This window comes from Homo sapiens, chromosome 5, assembly GCF_000001405.40.
Source record: "Homo sapiens chromosome 5, GRCh38.p14 Primary Assembly".
NCBI lineage: Eukaryota > Metazoa > Chordata > Mammalia > Primates > Hominidae > Homo > Homo sapiens.
This window is the reverse complement of record NC_000005.10, coordinates 96,860,199-96,880,561: the sequence shown is the minus strand read 5'-3', so window position 1 is coordinate 96,880,561 and position 20,363 is coordinate 96,860,199. Positions and strand designations below refer to the sequence as shown.

General features: G+C 40.4%; 2 protein-coding genes across 12 annotated transcripts in view, besides 4 other annotated features; one reads left to right on the top strand and one right to left on the bottom strand.

Moving 5' to 3' along the window:
* Nucleotides 1–4,578, bottom strand: part of ERAP2 (endoplasmic reticulum aminopeptidase 2) — a 43,733-nt gene extending 39,155 nt beyond the window's left edge. For 4 of the 7 annotated variants that reach the window (NR_137637.2, NM_001437802.1, NM_001329229.2 and 1 more), the window contains exons 1-2: nucleotides 4,035–4,578; nucleotides 302–998 (exon numbers count right to left, since the gene is read on the bottom strand). Coding sequence is in view for 6 of the 7 variants with exons in the window: in NM_001437802.1 (NP_001424731.1) it covers nucleotides 302–876 (575 nt within the window). In the remaining variant the exon portion in view is untranslated. The remainder of the gene's footprint in view (nucleotides 1–301; nucleotides 999–4,034) is intronic. The other 3 variants (NM_001130140.3, NM_001438758.1, NM_022350.5) reach the window with 2 other exon arrangements.
* Nucleotides 1–20,363, top strand: part of ERAP1 (endoplasmic reticulum aminopeptidase 1) — a 175,042-nt gene that overhangs the window by 55,293 nt on the left and 99,386 nt on the right. For 4 of the 5 annotated variants that reach the window (XM_047417310.1, XM_011543485.3, XM_011543484.3 and 1 more), the window contains exons 2-3: nucleotides 6,890–7,047; nucleotides 7,184–7,276. The gene's annotated coding sequence lies outside the window, so the exon portion shown is untranslated. The remainder of the gene's footprint in view (nucleotides 1–6,889; nucleotides 7,048–7,183; nucleotides 7,277–20,363) is intronic. The other variant, XM_017009581.2, reaches the window with a different exon arrangement.
* Nucleotides 3,164–3,373: an enhancer, noted in NCBI's record as "active region_22821". NCBI's record gives its function as "activates an Ori minimal core promoter by ATAC-STARR-seq in GM12878 lymphoblastoid cells {active_cell/tissue: GM12878}" and the evidence as "EXISTENCE:reporter gene assay evidence [ECO:0000049][PMID:35858748]".
* Nucleotides 3,744–3,953: an enhancer, noted in NCBI's record as "active region_22820". NCBI's record gives its function as "activates an Ori minimal core promoter by ATAC-STARR-seq in GM12878 lymphoblastoid cells {active_cell/tissue: GM12878}" and the evidence as "EXISTENCE:reporter gene assay evidence [ECO:0000049][PMID:35858748]".
* Nucleotides 4,124–4,273: an enhancer, noted in NCBI's record as "active region_22819". NCBI's record gives its function as "activates an Ori minimal core promoter by ATAC-STARR-seq in GM12878 lymphoblastoid cells {active_cell/tissue: GM12878}" and the evidence as "EXISTENCE:reporter gene assay evidence [ECO:0000049][PMID:35858748]".
* Nucleotides 4,294–4,423: an enhancer, noted in NCBI's record as "active region_22818". NCBI's record gives its function as "activates an Ori minimal core promoter by ATAC-STARR-seq in GM12878 lymphoblastoid cells {active_cell/tissue: GM12878}" and the evidence as "EXISTENCE:reporter gene assay evidence [ECO:0000049][PMID:35858748]".

Genomic DNA, 20,363 nt, shown 5'->3' with positions numbered 1-20,363 from the left:
TATTTCAGCCCTCTCTGCACTGACCATCTCTTTCCCTAGCACATAAGCATATCTATCATATCAGTCATATACTGGCCTCTCCTCCTAGTTATTCACCCTCTAGCTGTTTATGCCTCTGAGTCCTGTCTTTACATCTCTACTGTGGTTTCCTTAAGGAATGGTAGATCTTTTCCTTCTTCTGGGTTCCCCATAGTTCACTGGATTTCTCATAAATGGCTGCTGAAGTCTGCTCCTGGCAAAGAGATGTAACTCGTAAGGAAATTATCACAAAAGAATGTAAATTACCTGAGCAAGTTCTTACCTTGTTTCACCACCAAGAGTTCTGTATGTGCTTTTATAAAACCCTTCAAAGCCATCACCTAACTTGGCTTGGAAGTCCATAGCCACATAGTATTTCAGGTGAGGCGTAAGTTTCTCTGGAACCAGCAGTGCAATTTGTTCATGAGCAGGGTAACTCAAAACTTTCAGTTCTTTTCCTGGTTTCATGTATCTTGAATCTTCCTCTGACTGAAGGGTGGCATTCGTGATTTCAAGATCTTTGCTGTGCAAGATGATAAACTGGGTAGCATTGCTGACCAAGACTTCGATCTTCTCAGATGCAACAAAGTCCAGAGAGGTGAGATTGGGGTGGACAAAGAGGTCATAATGGAGAGGAATGACCACACTGGGGAGCCTTAGCTCCTGCCAAGGAAATCGTTCCCCATTAGTGGCTACTGGGAAAGCCCCAGGATCCTCAGTGAAGTGATAACTAGATGGCACTGAGAACTGAGAACAAATGCATATTTGGGGCAAGATGGCTGTTAAGCAGTAAAATCCTCTGTGAATGTTAAACATTGGTTTTCTGTGTGAATTAACCATTGCAGAAGAATGGAACATGAAATCTATTCTCTAGAAGACAAGTTAATATCCAGGCTAATCTCGTAGTTCTTCATGGCACTGCACTGGCTCCAGTTATGTCACATGGGGTCTGAACAATATTTTCAATACATGAATTTAATCTAGAAGAAAAAAACACACTTATAGCATGACAAAAAAGATTTCAATTTACAAATAAAATCTTAAACATGTAAAAAGGTATGTGTGAGTAAGGGAAAATCTGCTCTCTGTCAGAATTAGGCCAAGTATCCACAAAATAGAGCAGAAATTAAGCTGTTATCTGGTTATTACAAATAAAAACCCTTTAGGACTCCCCCAAAAAACCCTACCTTAAAATTGAATGTAATGAATTTCTTCTGAATTCTTGTGCAGCGAGCAGAAGGCAGGTGTGTAAATTCATTGCATGTTGAATGTTTTTAACATTTGGTTATATTTTAAATTTTTGTTTATTTATTTATGTTTTAGACAGGGTCTTGCTCTGTTGCCCAGGCAGGAGTAGAGTGTGCAATCATGATCACAGCTCACTGCAGCCTCAACTTCCTGGGCTCAAGTGATCCTCCCACCTCAGCCTCCAGAGTAGCTGGGACTACAGACACACACCGCCACACTCGGCTACCTTTTTTGTAGAGATGGGGGTCTCCCTGTTACCCAGGCTGGTCTCAAACTCCTAAACTCAAGCAATCCTCCCAAACTGTTGGGATTACAAGCGTGAGCCACTGTGACCAGCCTACTTTATTTTTATTCATTTATTTATGTTTTTGAGACGGAATCTCGCTGTTGTCCAGGTTGGAATGCAGTGGCACTATCTTGGCTCACTGCAACCTCTGCCTCTGGGGTTCAAGTGATTCTTCTCCCTCAGCCTCCCGAGTAGCTGGGATTACAGGTATGTGCCACCACACCCAGCTAATTTTTGTATTTTTAGTAGAGACGGGGTTTCACCATGTTGGCCTGGCTAGTCTCGAACTCCTGACCTCAGGTGATCCACTTGCCTCAGCCTCCCAAAGTGCTGAGATCACAGGCGTGGGTCACTGCGCCTGGCCATATTTTATTTTTTTTGAAAGACAATGTGTCACCATGTTGCCCAGGCTGGCCTCAAATTCCTGGGGTCAAGCAATCCTGATGTCTCAGCCTCCCAATTAGCTGGAACCACAGGCACACATGTAATTTTAAGTGTATGCCTGAAAGTAAACTGTGCAAGATGTCTCTATTTTGTCTTCATAAGTCACAAAGAATATTCTATATATATATTCTATATTCTTTGGATACCAGATATTATTATTACTACGAATGGCATTGAACTTCACCTCTTTCAATAACATTATCTGAATGGCCTCATTTTATGGCTACTGGTGTAAAGGTTGCTGGTCAAGGTAGGTATTTATCCCCAGTTTATTTTCAATATGTCAAAAGCCATGGAAATAAATTTTGAGTTTATAATATTCTTACAGAATTTTTTTAAGGTTCGGTTCTTTTCCCTTTACACTACTTTTGAAAGCACAATTAAATCAAACTGAATTTACTACCTTTGTAAATAGAACTAAGTTTCTTTCTTTTTGAAGGGTAAAGCTACAACACATATAAAATTAGGACAAACAGCATAGTTAATTTGGGGGAATCAATTCTTACTGCCACCCTACCACCTGCCTCTACTTACTTCCTTACTGCTCCAACTCAAACCATGAAGGTTTTCTCTGCTACTTCTTCTTTTTATAATCCTTAACAAGTTCTGCAGCATTAATTATCCAAACAATTACTTCAATTTTTCAATTTGCAATATTAATGCAGGTGACAGGTATTGTTAAAGGAACAAAAATAAAATAATATTAAAGATACTTCTCCCTCTTTTTAAAAACAAGCATTAAATTACTGCTACAAATCTCAGTGTTCCAAGAACGTCTGATAAGTACACTCATAATTGGTCTATTAGCTTGAATTTTGGAGGGTTTAAAAAAAATGGAGTGGCTTATTATGTGGGTCTGAGGCTTTGGAATCAGAGTGCCCAGATTCCAACGCTAATTCCACCAACCTCACCTACGTGATCATGGGCAAAGTTTTTTACTTTTTGAGCTTCATTTATCTCAACCATAAAACAGTGTAATAATTATACCTTCCTCATGCTGGGATGATTAAATGAAATAATTCATGTGAAGAAGTTGGCACAGCACAGCATGGAGCATATAGGAAGTAAGTAATTAGTGTTGGATATGAAATTATTATTGAGGTTATAACTTGCATTCAATGGCCAAAATGAAGGAGTAGCTCGCCCCCACTTGTAGCAGACACTCCTAGAGATGTACTTGATTGATAAGAGTAGAGAGAAAAGCTTTACTCACACAGTCTTTAACTTTAGAACTAGTAAGGGTTGTAAAGGCCAGCTAGTACAAGTCCTTAGTGTTCAGATAAAGAAACAGGACCGGGCACAGTGACTCAGGTCTGTAATGCCAGCATTTTGGGAGGCCAAGGTGGGCAGATCACCTGAGGTCAGGAATTCGAGACCAGCCTCACCAACATGGTGAAACCCTACCTCTACTAAAAATACAAAAATTAGCCGGGCATGGTGGCACATGCCCGTAGTCCTAGCTACTCGGGAGGCTGAGGCACGAGAATCGCTTGAACCAGGGAGGTGGAAGTTGCAGTGAGCCGAGATCGTGCTGCTGCACTCCAGCCTGGGCGACAGAGCGAGGCTCTCTCTCAAAATAAATAAATAAATAAATACATAAATTAAATTAAATAAACAGATGAAGGAACAGGATGGTGACTTCTCAAAATCCACACAGGAAGTCTGAAACAGAATCAGGACTAAAACATAGCTCTTTGCCCTTTGGTCTGGTGGGCTTTCTATTATACTGCACTGTACCTTAAATAGCAATGCAGTGAACAAAACATCCTGGGATTGAAGAGGCAAGAATTGTCACAAACGCTTAGAAAAGACAAAAAGATCTCTGAAAGAGAGTCAGTGCAGCAGCGTCTTAGATCAAGTCCCAGCCTCAACTGCATACACTTTCTAATACAGCCGCGCCCAATTCACCCCAGTCCCCCAGAACCTTGCCTTAGATTACAAAACCTTCTCAACACAGCAGTTCTATACCTTCAGTTCATTATTCTTATTGAAAAAATCTAATTTTAAGACAAACCCAAGAGAAATGTTGATACGTTACCTTAAATCATGCTGCTGCAGATTTGACTGAAGGGGAATTTACTTTTGCTTTCACTTTCTGTTCTAAGATTCAGAACTTTGCATGCTTCCTGAGTACAGTAAGTACTAGCTGGTTCATTATCACGCAGGTGTGAATGGAGCTTAGGATAAGAGCTTTATTTCAAAAAGGACAAGAAACTTTTTGTAGAATGCACAAATAAGTGGCTTTGGAGTAGAAGCCAAACCATGGAAAGAAAGGATCGCCAGTGGCTGCCACTTCTGCTGTTATCACCTCCCTTCCCTTGTCCCCAGGGTAAAGCCTTCAGAACATAGTTTATGTTTTTTAGTGCCAAGTTGTTGTCTTAGGAATTGATCTTGAACTTCTCCTTGTGCTGCATCCTCAGTGCTATGAAATCTGACTTCTGCCCATCCACCCCACAAACGTAACTCCAAGCTTACCAAACACCTCCCGGGCAGCTTCTGTGATCTTTATCAGAGGTGATTATTCTCAGATTTTCCATGTCTGTAACCACCCTGTCTCCTTGGGCACGAGGGGACTGTATCTCATGCTCATCTCTTTGATCTCTCTTTATCTGCCTGTTTGAGTTGGGCTTCAACTTCCTCTCTGCTCTGAATACAGACCTTCCACAAAGATGAAACCTCTGGCCTTTGCTCTGCCCTCTCTTTATCCTTTCCAGTACCCAGATTTAGCATTTATCCCCATTCATCCCACATTGCTCCCATTGTGATCCCTCCTTCAAGGGTTCTGCTGCTGTAATTCCAACAGCCTGATGGACCAACAGTACATGGATGTCTAACCCTAACCTGAACCAGAACCCTGACAACTCAAATAGTGTTTTCTTTCCCCAGATAAACACCCTTTGCTTTATATGCTTCCAGCCTTCTTCCATTATCTAGGATTGAACCATATAGTTAGTTACTTTGATTCTGTCCCTCTCCAATTTGTTACCAAAGCCTGTTGATTTTTCCTTTTCTTTTCTTTTTTTTTTTTTTGAGATAGGGTCTCACTCTGTCACCCAGGTTGGAGTGCAGTGGTGCCATCCCAGCTCACTGCAGCCTTGACTTCCTGAGCTCAAATGATCCTCCCACCTCAGCCTCCCAAGTAGCTGGGGCTACAGGCATCCACCACTACACCCAGCTAATTTATTATTTTTTTTTTATAGATGAGGTCTTCCCATGTTGCTCAGGCTGGTCTCAAACTCCTAGGCTCAAGTGATCCTTCTGCCTCAGCCTCCCAAAGGATTGGGATTACAGGCATGAGACACCGCAACTGGCCTTTTTGAATCATTTTCAATCTCTTTCTATCCAACTAAGAAAAAATCCCACCGCTTATTAAAGTAGTCCAGGTCCTCATCCTTCCTCACAATGGCCTTCAATCATGTCTTCCCAGCTTCTCAAGCTCAGCTTCTTGCAGTTACTTGTACGATGCCACCAGATTAATCCTTTCAACTACTGCTCGACCATGCCTCCCCCACTGCTCAAGATCTTTCCTTGATTTCCCCATTTACAGAGGGGCAAGTCCTAGTGTGGGAACCATAGTGGCCTACTGGCAGCCTATATGCCAGCCTATAGTTGTTTTGTTTGAATCACAGTCTATTAAATGGCAATACATCCATACAATTTCTATTGTCAAGTGAAATATAACAAGCTTAGCTCTTATCATGTTGCAGACACTCTTCATAGACTTGTATCATGTGCCTTGTCCTGCTGTGGTTTGTGTTTGCAACCTATGTTTGGCCCAATAGCACATGTTGCCATGATTAGATCCTAGTTAAGTCTCAAGCTTTAATTTTTCCACCTTTCTACATTTTATTATTTCAACCTGAAAGAACAAGTCGATAAAGTAGAAGGGGCAGAAAGGAAGGCAGTAGCCTACACCTAAGGCCCGAAACATAAGACTGAATGGGGTCCCTCAGAGCTGCATTTCATGTAGTGAGAGGGGCACCACAGGAAGGGGGATGGCTGGAAGCCAGTGAGTGGGAAAAAGAAGGGGACAAAGACGACAAAGAAGAGGAGGCCCCAAGGGCTTATCTACGGACTCTAACTCTGCAGGGCGTGGGGGCAGGTAGAAGAGGTATAGGAGGCTGGGAGTATTTCTGTGATATTCCTTGTCACAAGATCCAGCCTAGCTGTGGGTATGTGGGCGAGTGCATGTGTGTTTTCAGAGCTCTCTCCTGCCCACTGGAACAGAAGTGGTGATGGAGAATGAAGAAACAGGCTATGGAATTGAGCTGCAGAATCCTAGAAGTGAAAATTGAGCCAGATTCAAGTACTTGTAGCTTATTTAAAAGAGTTTCTCAGCAAAATGGGCTCCTAACTTTTCTTTTCTTTCTTCTTTCTCTCTCTCTTTCTTTCTTTCTTTCTTTCTTTCTTTCTTTCTTTCTTTCTTTCTCTCTCTCTTTCTTTCTTTCCTTCCTTCTTTTTTTTTTCTTTTCTCTTCTCTTTTCTTTGGGATAAGCTTTGGGAAGTTTATTGCTTAGGGAATTCATGTCTCAGTTTTCCATTTCATCCTGGTCTCTGAATTGTCTCTTACTCAGAGAGACCCTCCTTGTTGGCTCTAAGGCAGTACCACTCCTCCCTAAATCCACCATCACCAAGGCCTATCCTGTCAGCCTGCTTTTTGTTTCTTCTTAGCTTTGGTCAGTTCCTTATACTTCATTATGTAGTTGTTTGTTTGTTTTCTTGTCTCCTCACTAGAACATAAGCTTTTTGCAGTAGCAACTCTGCCCTCTAACTGCTGAGTGCCCAGTATAGAGCAGAGCCTGCCATATAAGAGACCCTCAACAAATGTTAGTTGAGTGGGTGAATGCATTTTCAGTGTTTTAGTTTTTGTTTTTGTTTTTTGTTTTTCCTTAGATTGCCCAACACTTGCTTCATGCTTCAAGCACATCAGGGTGCTTTCCACTTCTGGATGAGCCAAGTGTTTCCTCAGCTTTTCTGCACCTTCCTCTCCATTGACCTAGAGTGTCTATGGAACACTCAGAGTGTCCCCTGTGTAAACCACCTACCACAAGGTAAATGCCAGCCCCAAGAAGCCACTTTGGAAGTAACACATGCTTCCTTTCCAGTCCCAAACTACAGGCATTTGTTTAGTAGGTCTACTGGCACTCATCTGAGGCTAACAAGTTTGTGTTTCGTTTTCTTCCTCAGATTATCAACTTCAGGCAATGGACCACGCACCAGGATTCCACCTCTTTCTAGCACCTATCAGTGTTGCGCACATCATAGGCCCTCAACAAACAGGTGAGAATGAATGAGTTAACAGTGAATTTTCCAAAGAGATGAGACTTTATTGTCAAAATATTTTAAAGATTTCACGAATTTTCATGATTTTTTTTTTTTGACAAAGTCTCACTCTGTCACCCAGGCTGGAGTGCGGTGGCACAATCTCTGCTCACTGCAACCTCCGCCTCCTGGGTTCAAGTGATTCTTGTGCCTCAGCCTCCCAGGTAGCTAGGATTACAGGCGCCCACCACCATGCCTGGCTAATTTTTGTATTTTTAGTAGAGACGGGGTTTCACCATGTTGGTCAGCCTGTCTCAAACTCCTAACCTCAGGTGATCCACCCACCTTGGCCTCCCAAAGTGCTGGGATTACAGGCATGAGCCACCGCACCCAGCCGAGAATTTCTATTAAATATATTACATATGTTTCTATCCTCTTAGGGTGTTCTCAACAGATTTAAATCTTAATGACTTCATTTTTTAAAAAATTATAAACTGAACCTAGGATCAAGAGAATTGAAACATCTTCTTAAAATAATTCACTTCCTCATCTCCAAATTAGACACAATGATACTTTGCTACAGAGGATTATTGTCAATCCGAGAATCAATTAGGGAAAATATATGAAAGACAATTCATAAATGTTTTGTAAACTTTAAATTTCTTTACCTGCATCAGTTACTTTTATTCTTATTTTTTGTTTTTTGGGACAGAGTCTTGCTCTGTTGCCCAGGCTGTAATGCAGTGGCACAATTACAGCTTATTGGAGCCTCAACCTCCTGGGCTCAAGCGATTCTCTTGTTTCAGCCATCCAAGTAGCTGGGGCTACAGGTGTGCACTACCACACTTGGCTAATTTTTTAATTTTTTGTAGATATGGGTTTTCACCATGTTTCCCAGGTTGATTTCGAACTCCTGAGCTCAAGTGATCCACCTGCCTTGGCCTTTCTTCCTTTTTTTTTTTTTTTTTGAGACAGGGTCTCATTCGGTCACCCAGGCTGCAGTACAGTGATGTGATCTCGGCTCACTGCAACCTCTGCAGTGGGGAGATACAGAATGAATAAAATGACGAATGGCTCCCTGACAGTGCTAGATGCTTGTAACTCTGAAGCCAACTTATAGTTTAAAAAGTAGCTTCCTTTTCTCTGACTTCCATTTTATTTTTCAAAAGGATCTCTATAAATCTATTAAAAATACTTCTAAGAATTATTGTTATGCCTATGTTCTTTTTCAGACAAAATAGAGACAGAGTCTATATTATGGGCTTAAAATTTTTAATTTAAAGAAAATCAGTGAAAGTTTATGTTAGTATAAAGACTCAGAGCCTTATGCAAAATATGAGAAATGGGGGTAGGGAGGGGAAATTCACCTAGTAAATGCAATCTATAGCTTCTTTTAAACTCATTCAGTTGTAACAGAAAATGAAAACATGTATTCTCAGAATTTTAAATCAGTAACTGACAGGAAGATGGTTTTTCAAAAATGGTTATCTTTTGCAATGCCTTCCACAAAGCACTTACTGAAAACAAAAACAGAAAAATGCCGCCATAAAAATCTGATGTTGTTAAAGTGGAACAGAATATTAGACAAACTTGACATTGAACAACTGCTATTTTACAGCATTAAAAATTTTTATTTAGTAGCCAAATGAAAAATGCTGGTGCCTCTGTTATTTTCTTTCCAATTACAGATTATTTAAATAACTGATGACACATTCTCAAACAGGAAAAATGATGGCAAAATAAACCAGGGTGATTCTGAGCTTGTTAAATATTTTGAAAGTAAATTTGCATGCTTTCAACCAACCGATTAAAACCAACTGATTAAACCAAATCAGTAATGTTTTGGCTTCTCCCCTACTTAAAAATTTAACTAAAAGATCTAAAAAAACTTTTGCTTCTGGCCAAGATAGAGTAGGGACTCTGATTTATTCTCCTGCTTAAAACAACCAAAAAAAGATGAACAAAAGACAGTTTACAAGACAATGAATATCAGGCAACCCAAGACAGCAATCCCTGGAGAGAAGGAAACAAATAGGCAAGCTCTGTGATTTTCCCAGCTTTCTGCCTTGAGAGAGGTTCCAGGCTGCTTTGCAGGGAGACAGAACTAAGGCAGAGCCCAGCAGATTCTTTGAGTTGAGGAGATGCAGATGAGATTCTGGGAGAGCAAGGAAACCAGAGTTCATAGGATGAATACCAAAGAGGAGAGAGCTGCAGAAAGAGACGAACGGTGTGTGGGAGGGCAGGCTTTGGAAACCTGCTGAGGATTTTCCTGGAGTATTCTGCTGATCAATGATCAATATGCACATGAGCAGAAAATAAACGTTGCCAGAAACTGAACCACTGAAAAGGATTAGTGGGAACAAAGCCTGGTGCTTGCACAGAGACAGAAGTAGTGCTTGTGCCTACCCATCAAACTGGAGAACCTCAAGATGAATGGGCCAATGGGTAGAGTGTGCTAAAGTGTCTTACCTCAGTAGTGGGGAGCAGATAAGTCTCTGCTCTGGTCCTGCCTAACAAATCTTAAAAGCAGGATCCAAAAGGATGAAACTTCTCAAGTAACTTATCTGTGTTCCAGCACAAAACTCAATAGCATAGTAATAAAAGAAAAATCCACCACCCAACTAGGCAAAAAGCTTGGTGGTGATTTTTGAACCAACTGGGTTTATTAACTCACTACATCAAGGGAAAACACCCTGGGGAGCCCTGGGGCATCTCAGAAAGAGAGTGTCAGAAAGGGGTCATTATGGGATGTTATAGGTGATTTGCATGAGAGTTTCATGGGGCAGGGCTTCGTTTTGGTTTAAATGTTCTAAGAAAGTGGGGGTGATTCTATGATTTCGTATCTTATTAAGAGATTAGACAAAGGCTAAGGCTGAAATTGGTGAAGAAACAGCAGTCATTCATATTAGCCAGGACCTGAAGATGTTTGGTCATTTTTGTGGTTTGGACAACGTTCATGTTTGCCTGTGTTCAGACATGATTATGGAGTTGGCTTGTGTTTGTCTTGATCCATCAGAGTCACAAGAGTGGTTGTGTCTGATGTTCATATTCCATGAAATTGTTTGTGTTCAACAGGAGAACACTGAGGTCTGGCTGTGAGTGCCCATTCAGCTCCTGGCTGTCAGAGACTGCCTTTCTCATTACTCTCAGCAGCTCTCAGATTTTGCAGCCCCTGGTCCTACTATCAAAAGCTTAGTCTGCCTCTTGGTTTCCTCTTCCAAATCTGCAAATGCCCCTGGGGAATTTCTGGAATCCCTCGTTCACCTCTTTGGGTTTCCAACTTTTCTAGAATCTTAGCTTAGTAATTCTTCACTATCTTTTTAGACTTTTATGCTTTAAAGATCTTTTTCTATTTTGTCTGTGTTTACAATTGTCTTCAGTGGGAGGGTTGGTCCAATTACATACTGTGCCATTACAGCAAAAGGCAGCACCCTCCCCCATCCCTGTCCCACTTGCAGATTTCCCTAAGCCTCCAAAAAGGTTTTTCTGGGCCTTTTGCCTGGGCACCCATCCTCTTCTCCGAACCATTTCAATGTGGATAGATGTCTGATCACCTTACAATAGCTCCACAGTCTTCATGGTCAGATTATTGAGGAGTTTTCACTAGACTTATGTTTAGGCTTCCCTAATTCAACACTCTTCGTTTCCTTCAGCTGTCTTCCTAACTCTCCAGAGCCATTTGACAATGTTTTTTGATATTTGAATACAGCAAAAAACCCCAAGCCCTTTGTTCCAGACAGATTGCTCCTTCTACCATCCTTTTCTATAAAAATCCTGAATCTACCTGTTATTTTCTAATAAATCTGTAAACTAAATAAATATGAGTGGGCTCATGGTTGTACTTTGGAAATATGTTGAGTAAGCTAATTCTCAACTTTCATCCAGGAGTAAATAGAGTCTTCTTCTTTTCATGAGTGTCCTCTGTTTGTACCTCTCTGAAGCCAACACTTGGTATAAAACTAGTCAGTGGAGGGTAGAGGGTGATGGGTACATACTTTTAAATAAGCAGTTATCAACTAGAGAAGTTATGGATTACAGCCTTCAGGCCATGATGTACAGTTTACCACCTAGCTTTCTGAATTTTATTGACTAATAAGACAGGTCACTCTATCTTCAGAGCAAAGCAACTCTGTGTAACCCTAGCTATGCATTTTAAATTACAATCAGTGTCATCTAGTAGCCAACCAACAAGTTCTCTTGAGCGAAGAAAGCAAAAGCAGCAGGAGCTTCATCTAGTGGTAACAAGTGTAACTGCAGAGACTCCTGTGTTGTAGAGCTAACACTGTGCAAACACACATCTTGAGGCAAATCACACAATCCAAAAAGCAATAACATTCTACGAGTATACAACCCAGACTTAAGATAATCAGATTTATAGGTAGGCTTGGATTTCGATATATGAAGTTGAGGACTGGGGGTGAGAATTTTTATGATACCATTACTAAATCTAATTTGAATGCTTGAATAACTATGCATTAGTAGAGCCTAGGGCAGTGATTCTCAGAGTATGCCTTGCCCCTCCAACAGCATCAGCAGCATACTGAACATTTGTTAGAAATGCAAATTCTCAGTCTTTCCCAAATGGAATTAATTGGAAACTCGGGGTGACGTCTAGAAATCTGTATTTTAACAAGCTTTTGAAACGGTTCTGATACACACTAAAATTTGAGAACCACTAGCCTAGGGTTAGGAGTTCAGGATCTTAAATAAAACATTCCCTCTTTATATCCCAGCTCAATTCCTGAATGGCTGAGTGGACTTGGGCAAGACACTTTTTCTCTAAGTTTTAAGTTCCTCATTTATCAAATGTTGGGAAAATAGCACAAACTTCATAGGGCTGTTGTGAGAATGAAAAGAGATATATCTGTGTTGCCTTAGTCAAAGTTCCCCACAAAAGACAGCATAAGGCAAAGTTTAGGTATTAATGCTCTACTGAAGGAGTGGTAGGTTGTATTTCCAAGGATGGCCACACCGATAACCAGTCTCATTTGCTCTTGTTAGTGAGGTCTCTGTTTCCTCCCCTTGAATCTGGGTAGATTTTTGTAACTGCCTTCAATAATATGCAGCAGGTCATAGAAGGGAGGTGGCTTCTGTGCACATGGAGGGCTGGGCTGACTTTTAAGAGAGAACTGATTGTATACATTTCTTTCCAATGTTGGGTCAGTGACTTCAAGTTGGTAGCCTGAGAATAGAGTTTTTTTGTTTGTTTGTTTGTTTTTCTTTTTTTTGGAGATGGAGTCTTGCTCTGTCACCCAGGCTGGAGTGCAGTGGTGTGATCTCGGCTCACTGCAACCTCTGTCTCCTGGGCTCAAGCAATTCTCCCTGCCTCAGACTCCCAGGTAGCTGGGATTACAGGCACTCGCCACCAAACCTGGCTCATTTTTGCATTTGTAGTAGAGACAATGTTTCACCATGTTAGCCAGGCTAGTCTTGAACTCCTGACCTCAGGTAATCCGCCTGCCTCAGCCTCCCAAAGTGATGGGATTACAGGCATGAACCACTGCACCCAGCCCACATAGAGTATTAAAGCAGGTAAATAAACAAATTATACAAAGCAGTACCTTTTTTTTCCCCACCATGAGAGCTGGTTGTTAAATATTTCTTGGAACTACTACTTCTCCTTGGTTCTGTCTCTCTCTGCTGGTCCTTGGAACCTGCCATGAGGCTATGAGGAATCCCAGGCCCACAAGTAGAGATGACTTGTTGGCATTCTGGCAGATACTTCCAGCTAGGTACTTCCAGGTGACAGCCAGCATCCAATACCAGACAAGTGAGTGAATGAGTTTCAAATCATCCCAACGCCACCCTTCAAGAATTCCACCTAAGACTCCAACATTTTGAAGCAGAGAAGAGTCATCCTAGCTATGCCCTGTCTAAATTCTTGACCTATAAAAACTGTGACAAATAGTAAATAATTATTGTTGCTTTAAGCCACTAAGTTTTGTGTTAATTTGTTATGCAGCCATAACTAAAGCACAGGGTATAATCTCAGGGAGAAGCCCAGCACGGTGGTTCATGCCTGTAACCCTAACACTTTGGGAGGCTGAGGCAGAGGGATTGCCTCAGCTCAGGAGTTCGAGACTACCCTGGACAACATGATGAAACCCCGTCTCTATTAAAAATACAAAAATTAGCTGGGCATGGTGGCGGGTGCCTATAATCTCAGCTACTCGGGAGGCTGAGGCAGGAGAATCACTTGAACCTGGGAGGTGGAGGTTGCAGTGAGCCAAGGTTGTACCACTGCACTCCAGCCTGGGCAACAGAGTGAGACTCTGACAAAAAAAAAAAAAAATATCAGAAAGGTAAAGCAGGGAAAAAGGGAAGTGAGGCAGGCAGAGAAGGAGGGAAATAAGCACAAAGCTAGGTACTGATGACCCAGTCACTCATCAAGGAAACGTAGCTGGTTGCTTGGTCCTGTGGGACATCCCCAGAGAGGCAGTATGGAACTCCTGGCTTCAGAATGGTTTATTTATAGAGTAAAAGGTGGACAAATGATCTGCTGACTTCTTCTTCTCCTGTTTGTCAATAGCACATCAACTCCTCAGCACTTCCAGCTTGTGTCAGCAGGTCCCTCCTGGTGGCTGACCAGCCTCCAGGCTGGCTAGTGTGCATGTACGAGGTCTCTCCTAGAAGGTGCCTTGTGATGTCTCCCAAGTTTCTTGTGGCTGTAATGGCAGGAACTATGGCTTTATAGCTGCGGGAATGACATTGGCTATTACTAAAGCAACTGCACCCAGAAAAACAACTCAGGCCCTGGGGCAGAGCTGGGATGGCGTATCAACCGGGTTGGGCATACATGTTAAATAAACATCCTTAATGAATGTTGGTTATAATTATCACTATTACTACTATATGTTACAAACACTGATGTTTGTCTATTTGTTTTCCACACAGATGTGTTTTTATTACTAAAATTGATATGAATATTGAAGAACGTAGAGATTAGCCTAAAAGTTGGCTCTTTAAGGCAAGAGTCACAGACCAAAATATGGGATGCATTAAGTATAAACAGCTTGTACACACATTAATTGCAGAGTTTAGATTATGTTGACACTTAGGAAGGGGAAGAGAACCAGAAAATGTGATCACTTTACCAAAGGAGAAAGTACAGGCTTGGCATAATGAGAGAATAAGGCATAACACTGGAAGCATGAAGCATGTAGATAACACTACTAGGCTTTGTACTTGTTTAAGCTAATAGCTATATTTCATTTTTAAATGGCTCCTTTTGTAAATACATAGAATAGTAATGTTACAAATAGATGTTACAATTGCTGTAAGTATGTATATTTGGTAGATTGAGTATGAAAAAAGCGATCTTGTATAGAACATACATGCGTAGAGTAAAAACACAACTAATTTTTGTCAGTCTGGGTGTAATGTCTTTGAGAAAGAAAAGTTCTTGACAAGGCCTGATGAAAGCAACATGGTTTGGAAGACAGTATTGCACCGCTTGTGTGGACCTATCTTATTTGACCATATGTAAATGAAGGCCATTCATCCATTCCAAAACCCTTATTGAGTATGCTGTGGAACTAGATTAGATGTGGTGTGGTAGGTGGTAGTAGAATTAAATGTTAGAGTTAAAGAAATTTTAGAATACAGTACTGGTATGGCATAATTAAAGCCTAAAGTAAGAAAAATGAAAAATAGAATAGTTACCTTTATTTTTTGGTAGACTAAAAACATTTGAGGGTTATTTGGAAATTGTATTTATTTTCCACTGCTGATTACCAATTTAGAAAACAAAACCTCAGATGTATTACTTGTAGAGAACAATTAACTATCTACCAAGTATTTCTACCTGGGTATTTTGACATCATTTCTGTAGCTTGCTAATGTTAAGCAAATCTCCCATTTCCTAATTTACTTAGAACTAGTTCGTACTTTGGAAAGCAGTAGGGCTTTTATACACATATTTACAATTGGAACAGGAGCAAAGGCCAACAGGTTATATTATTTCAGTGAAGACATTAGAAATGAAGGAAATGGACCTCCTTCCAATTCTGTTCTGGTTGGGTACTTTAATCACATTTTTTCTATAAGTTGCAGGTCTTGACTAATTTTCTGTGTCTATAAAAACATTCAGAGACATTTCCCATGATATGGATAAAAATTTCACTCATTTAGAAGACAAGGAGGATGGAACAGGTCATAAGTTCAAAGGAAAATAACTCAGTGTACTATCAGGGACCATATCCCATCACTTCAATTGTAGTTAATTATTGGCTAAAAATCCATAGAAAAATTTCTAGGAAGAATGCATACAAAAGTTAAAGGACAAAAATAAAACATTAGCTTTAGTCCAGGGCTTGTTTTTGAAGTTTTTAGCTCTCTGCTCAATTTCCATGTCTTTCAGATTATTAGCTCATATTTGCATTTCTGTATCCATAAGATTTTTACTGAAGACACACCTTTTTATAAATTGGACCTTTGATAATATTTTTATAGTTTTAACTTACACATATATAAGTCACTTTGAAAAAAAAAGTATTGTTCCCTTTTCAACCTATCAAATCTTTCCAATATTCTAAGAAAATTACTATTGAACTTGCATTTTCAAGATACCCAAATCAAAATTATAAAATATGATACAGCTGACTAAAAAGGATAATTTCTTTTTAAAGCATTGTATCCTTCCAAGGGATTATAAAGGTTTCTTGTACAATCAATTGGCTTAAATTTATTATAAATTTATTTTTTGGAAAATAACCTTAAAACCTTCTACCACAGCTGAAATATGACTTCTGTTTATCATGTGTTGGAATATATCTGTGTATTTTTTTTTACCAATGTGATGCATACAAAACATAGCAAAGTAAACCTGAGACTTTTCACTGTCATCTTGTCTGTACTAAGAAACATGTCATTTTGAAAGTACACTCATTTTCCATAAAATCTTCAAAACATTGAGTGTAATTTTTGAAAAATAAAGAAGCATCTGTTGGCCTCTCTAAGGGAAAACACAAAGACACATGGCTTTGACATATTTAGCACAAGTTAAATAACTTTTGGCTCAGCTACTGTGTCAACGATGGCAATTTCATTGCTTTGGGAGGTAAGTGTCAAATCGCCACTAAATCTAAGTACAAGGAAAGTGGTAACATTATTCATTTAGCAGCTTTTTGTGTGTGTGTTTACATTATCTGCAAAGTGCCATAATAAGTATTGCCAGGAAGTCAACTATTGCCCCTGCTTGAAGCATCTTGTGTGCGTGTAAATGTGAATATGTATATGAATGTACCCACCTTTAGAAACATCACAACAGTATATGCACATGGTAAAAAAAAATCAAGAATTTATAGTATAGAATTTAACACTATAGCTGGAGTCAAGGAAGCCTTTGAAGATAATACACAATATCAGTTGAGCCTTAAATGATTATTTGAAAAGGAGGAAAGAGCACATAAGAAGTGATACTAAAGGAGCAAAGTGATTGAGATGAGATTTTTTTTTAAATAAGATTTCTAAATTTCCTGGTTGGAATTAGGGGTTTGTACCAGAGAGGAGTGGTAGACGTGACTGGATCCTGAACATATCTAGCTTGAAGAACTAATAACAATTTTCACATAAAAATCAGTGGGTAGTTAGAAATGTGAACAAAAATGTATGAAAAAATCAGGTAGGAATTCACATAAAAAGGCAGCAAAGTCGTGACCATGGGTGAATCTGCTAAGAGAAAATACAGAGTAAAAAGAGAAAGAGGCTGAAGGAGCTTCTGTTTCGGGGAACAAGAAAAAGAAAAGACAGCCAGAGAAATCGGGCACGGGGGAGGATTATAAGAACATGACAGAAGCCAAGAGAAGAGAATTTCATGAAAAAGTGGTGATCAGGAGACACAAATGAAAGGTGAGTGAGGATGGTGATTGAGAAAAACCCACTGAATTGGATGACACAGAAAATGCCTCTGAGAGAAACCGCTTAACTTCAGGGATAGGCAAAGGGTGAAACCACACTGCAGAGGGCTAAGGAGGTGGACGGTGGGAGTAGAGCTGTTGGTAGAATCTGTAGAGGTTCTGGTGTAGAGGCTCTGCAGCTGACAGAGGGCAAATTGTGAGGGAGGGTGCAGGAAGAGACTGATTGGGGAACAAGCCTTGGGTACTTAGAATGGAGAGGAGCCTGAGGAGGGCACACAGGGAGTGAAGGTGGGGGCAGGGGGCAAACTTAGGGCACAGTGGTGGATTTAGAGAAGAGAGACTTGAGAGGATAGTGCAGGTGGATCTTCTAACAAAAGAAGAAATACTTATGTAAAAAAAAATAAGTGAATCATAAGTTTCCAAGAAGCATAAGTTAACATGGCAAGTGTGCCACTTTCAGTTATGCCCTGCTCAACCCAGATACGGGTGAGGGTAAACGAGGTAGCTCTGAAAGGTCCAAGGCATTTTGGTAGGAAGTAACAGCAAAATGGCAGGGGGACAGGAAAGGTCAAAATGAGACCTTTTCTTAGGGATGGGCCCAGAGAATGGTGCAGGGATAGTCTTGTAACAAGCACTTCTCTTCCTCCTTAATCTCTCAATTGCCTCATATGCTTGGAATGAGGCAGAGCATAAAGAATAATCTCTAGGCAATCATGGTGGCTGCAGAGAAGGTTACCCTGTTGCCATCAAGAAAAGATCAGCTTAAAATGAAACAACAGAGGTCTTTAAAACTCATTCGCTACTAAAAGTCAACCATTCACCAGACAATGATGGAATCTTTTAATGCCCCTTATTCATAACCACTGTAATTTCAGGGAGTTTCTGTTACAAGTTCCAGATCTCATATCTGGCTTTGACACACTGAAATATTTGCTAATAGCTGCCTTCTGATTTTCTGTGACAGCTTGGGTTAGACTGATTCTCAGGCCATCTTCACAAGGTTGGCAGCCGCAATTTCACTAATAAGAAGGCAAGTTTATTTATTTATTTACATGATTATTTGTTGTAAAAGTTTACTGTTTATTGAGATGGCACTTGGGTAGCAATGTCTTGTCCACTAAAGAACTTATAGTATCACCTTTTGTAAAGATTGATTTAGACTGGGCAGGGTGGCTCATGCCTGTAATCCCAGCACTCTGGGAGGCTGAGGCAGGATTGTTTGAGGCCAGGAGTTTGAGACCAGCTTGGACAACATAGGAAGATCCCATCTCTACAAAAAATAAAAAGAAAAAAATAAAACTAGCTGGGCATGATTGTGTGCACCTGTGGTTCCAACTTCTTGGGAGGCTGAGCCAAGAGGATCACTTGAGCCCAGGAGTTCAAGGATGCAGTAAGCCATGATTGCACTATTGCACTCCAACCTGGGTGACAGAGCAAGACCTTGTCTTGATTTTTTTTTCAAAAAGAATCACAATATACCTTGGTTCACAAGTCATACAAGCTTTTTAGAATGGGATGCTTTAAATTTCAAGTTTATTTTGATCATTAAAAAGTAATAGGCAAAATTACTGTTGGGTAAATGCAACAGAATTCCCGCAAGGATGTTGTCTCTGCTCTGTAGTCACAGTGGAATGTTAAGCACATGGGCTTTGAAGTTAAATGTCCTGGGTTCAAATGCTGGGCCATGTACTTCAGTTAGATGTTTAAGTTCTGTTGCCTCACTTTCCTCATTTGTAAAGTGGGGATAATTAAAATACCTGTCTTAAAGTGTTGTAGCTGGGATCAAATAAGATGGTATGTGATGAAGCCTGGCATATCCCAAGTGCTCCAGAGATATTAGTGCTTATTATTACTGAGGAGGACGAATGGTATCCACAGCATCAGAGGAAACATTGCCAATTCTGATTAAGGCTTTCAGAAATATCTTCAAGTACCTTTGGAGCTGCTTATGAACCTTGAGACTATCCCTGTGAAATCTTTAAATGAGAATAAGCACATACCAGTCAAAAGCCACCTAGATTTTTACCTAATCTGCATTCAGATCCGCTGGGGCTCAGGCTGCTCATCAGAAACTCTCCTTAATTAGGCCACTCTATCCTTTGTTACCAGAGAGTTAGTCGAAGGCTGCCTTAGTGAAGTATCTGTGTGTTCATTACCTCTGTAACATGAAGATGTCCCCAGGGAAAACCCACACTGATGCCACCTGCTTCTGGAAGCCACAGCAAGTGATAAGACCAGCAGATCAGAGGCACAAGCCCTTGTTCATACCTTCTTTGTTGTGGAGTGGTCAGATGCCTTATTTGTGGGAATTGATGAAAATATTTTGGCAGTTCAAAGAATTGTCAGGAAGGCTGTAGAAACAGACTTACAAACTTCTAGGGAGACAATTTGGCCACAGAATCACAAAGGCAGGTTTTGACCTTGTAATGACTGCTCTCTTCAGTCGGTAGAGGCTTCTGCCCACACAATTAAAAAAAAAAAAAGAAAGAAAAGAAAGCTCTACATGAAGACTGTTTACCTGTGTTGCTCACTTGTAAATTGAAGTCGCACATTACTGCATTGGATTGGCAGAGGTAAGTCACTTGTCTGCAATTTGGCTATAATGGAGGCTGGAAATTTGAGTCTGATTTCTTTGGGGCAGTGGGACTGAAAAGTGAGGCAATCATTTAGAATATGATAAACAGCAACCAACTGACAAATGTGCATTAGCTCCCCCTTTTATTCCACTCCCCTGAATTCTAGCCAACTCCTTCTTGTGGAAGTCTTCCAGAAACTGACTCTTACTCAAGGAAACCTTCCTAGACCCCCTTACACTCAACTGGGTTACCAGACAGTAATATAGTAAGGTTGGGGCCCATGTCTTTTTCATTCAGTGCTATATTTTAGTATCTAATACAGTGAGCTTGGCACACAGTAGTTGCTAAATAATTTTGTTGAATGAATGTAAGACTAGTTCTTCTCCTCTGTAAATTCAGCCTTAATATCACCACCACAAACAACAACACAGGCCTAATTTATCATTATAAATATAATTACTTATATTTATAAATACACATCCTGTGAAACACATTCTCATTATAAATTTATAGACAGGGCTGGGTGTAGTGGCTCACACTTGTAATCCCAGCACTTTGGGAGGCCCAGGCAGGTGGATCACCTGAGGTCAGGAGTTCGAGACCAGCCTGGCCAACATGGTGAAACTCCGTCTGTACCAAAAATACAAAAATTAGCCAGGCGTAGTGGCACAC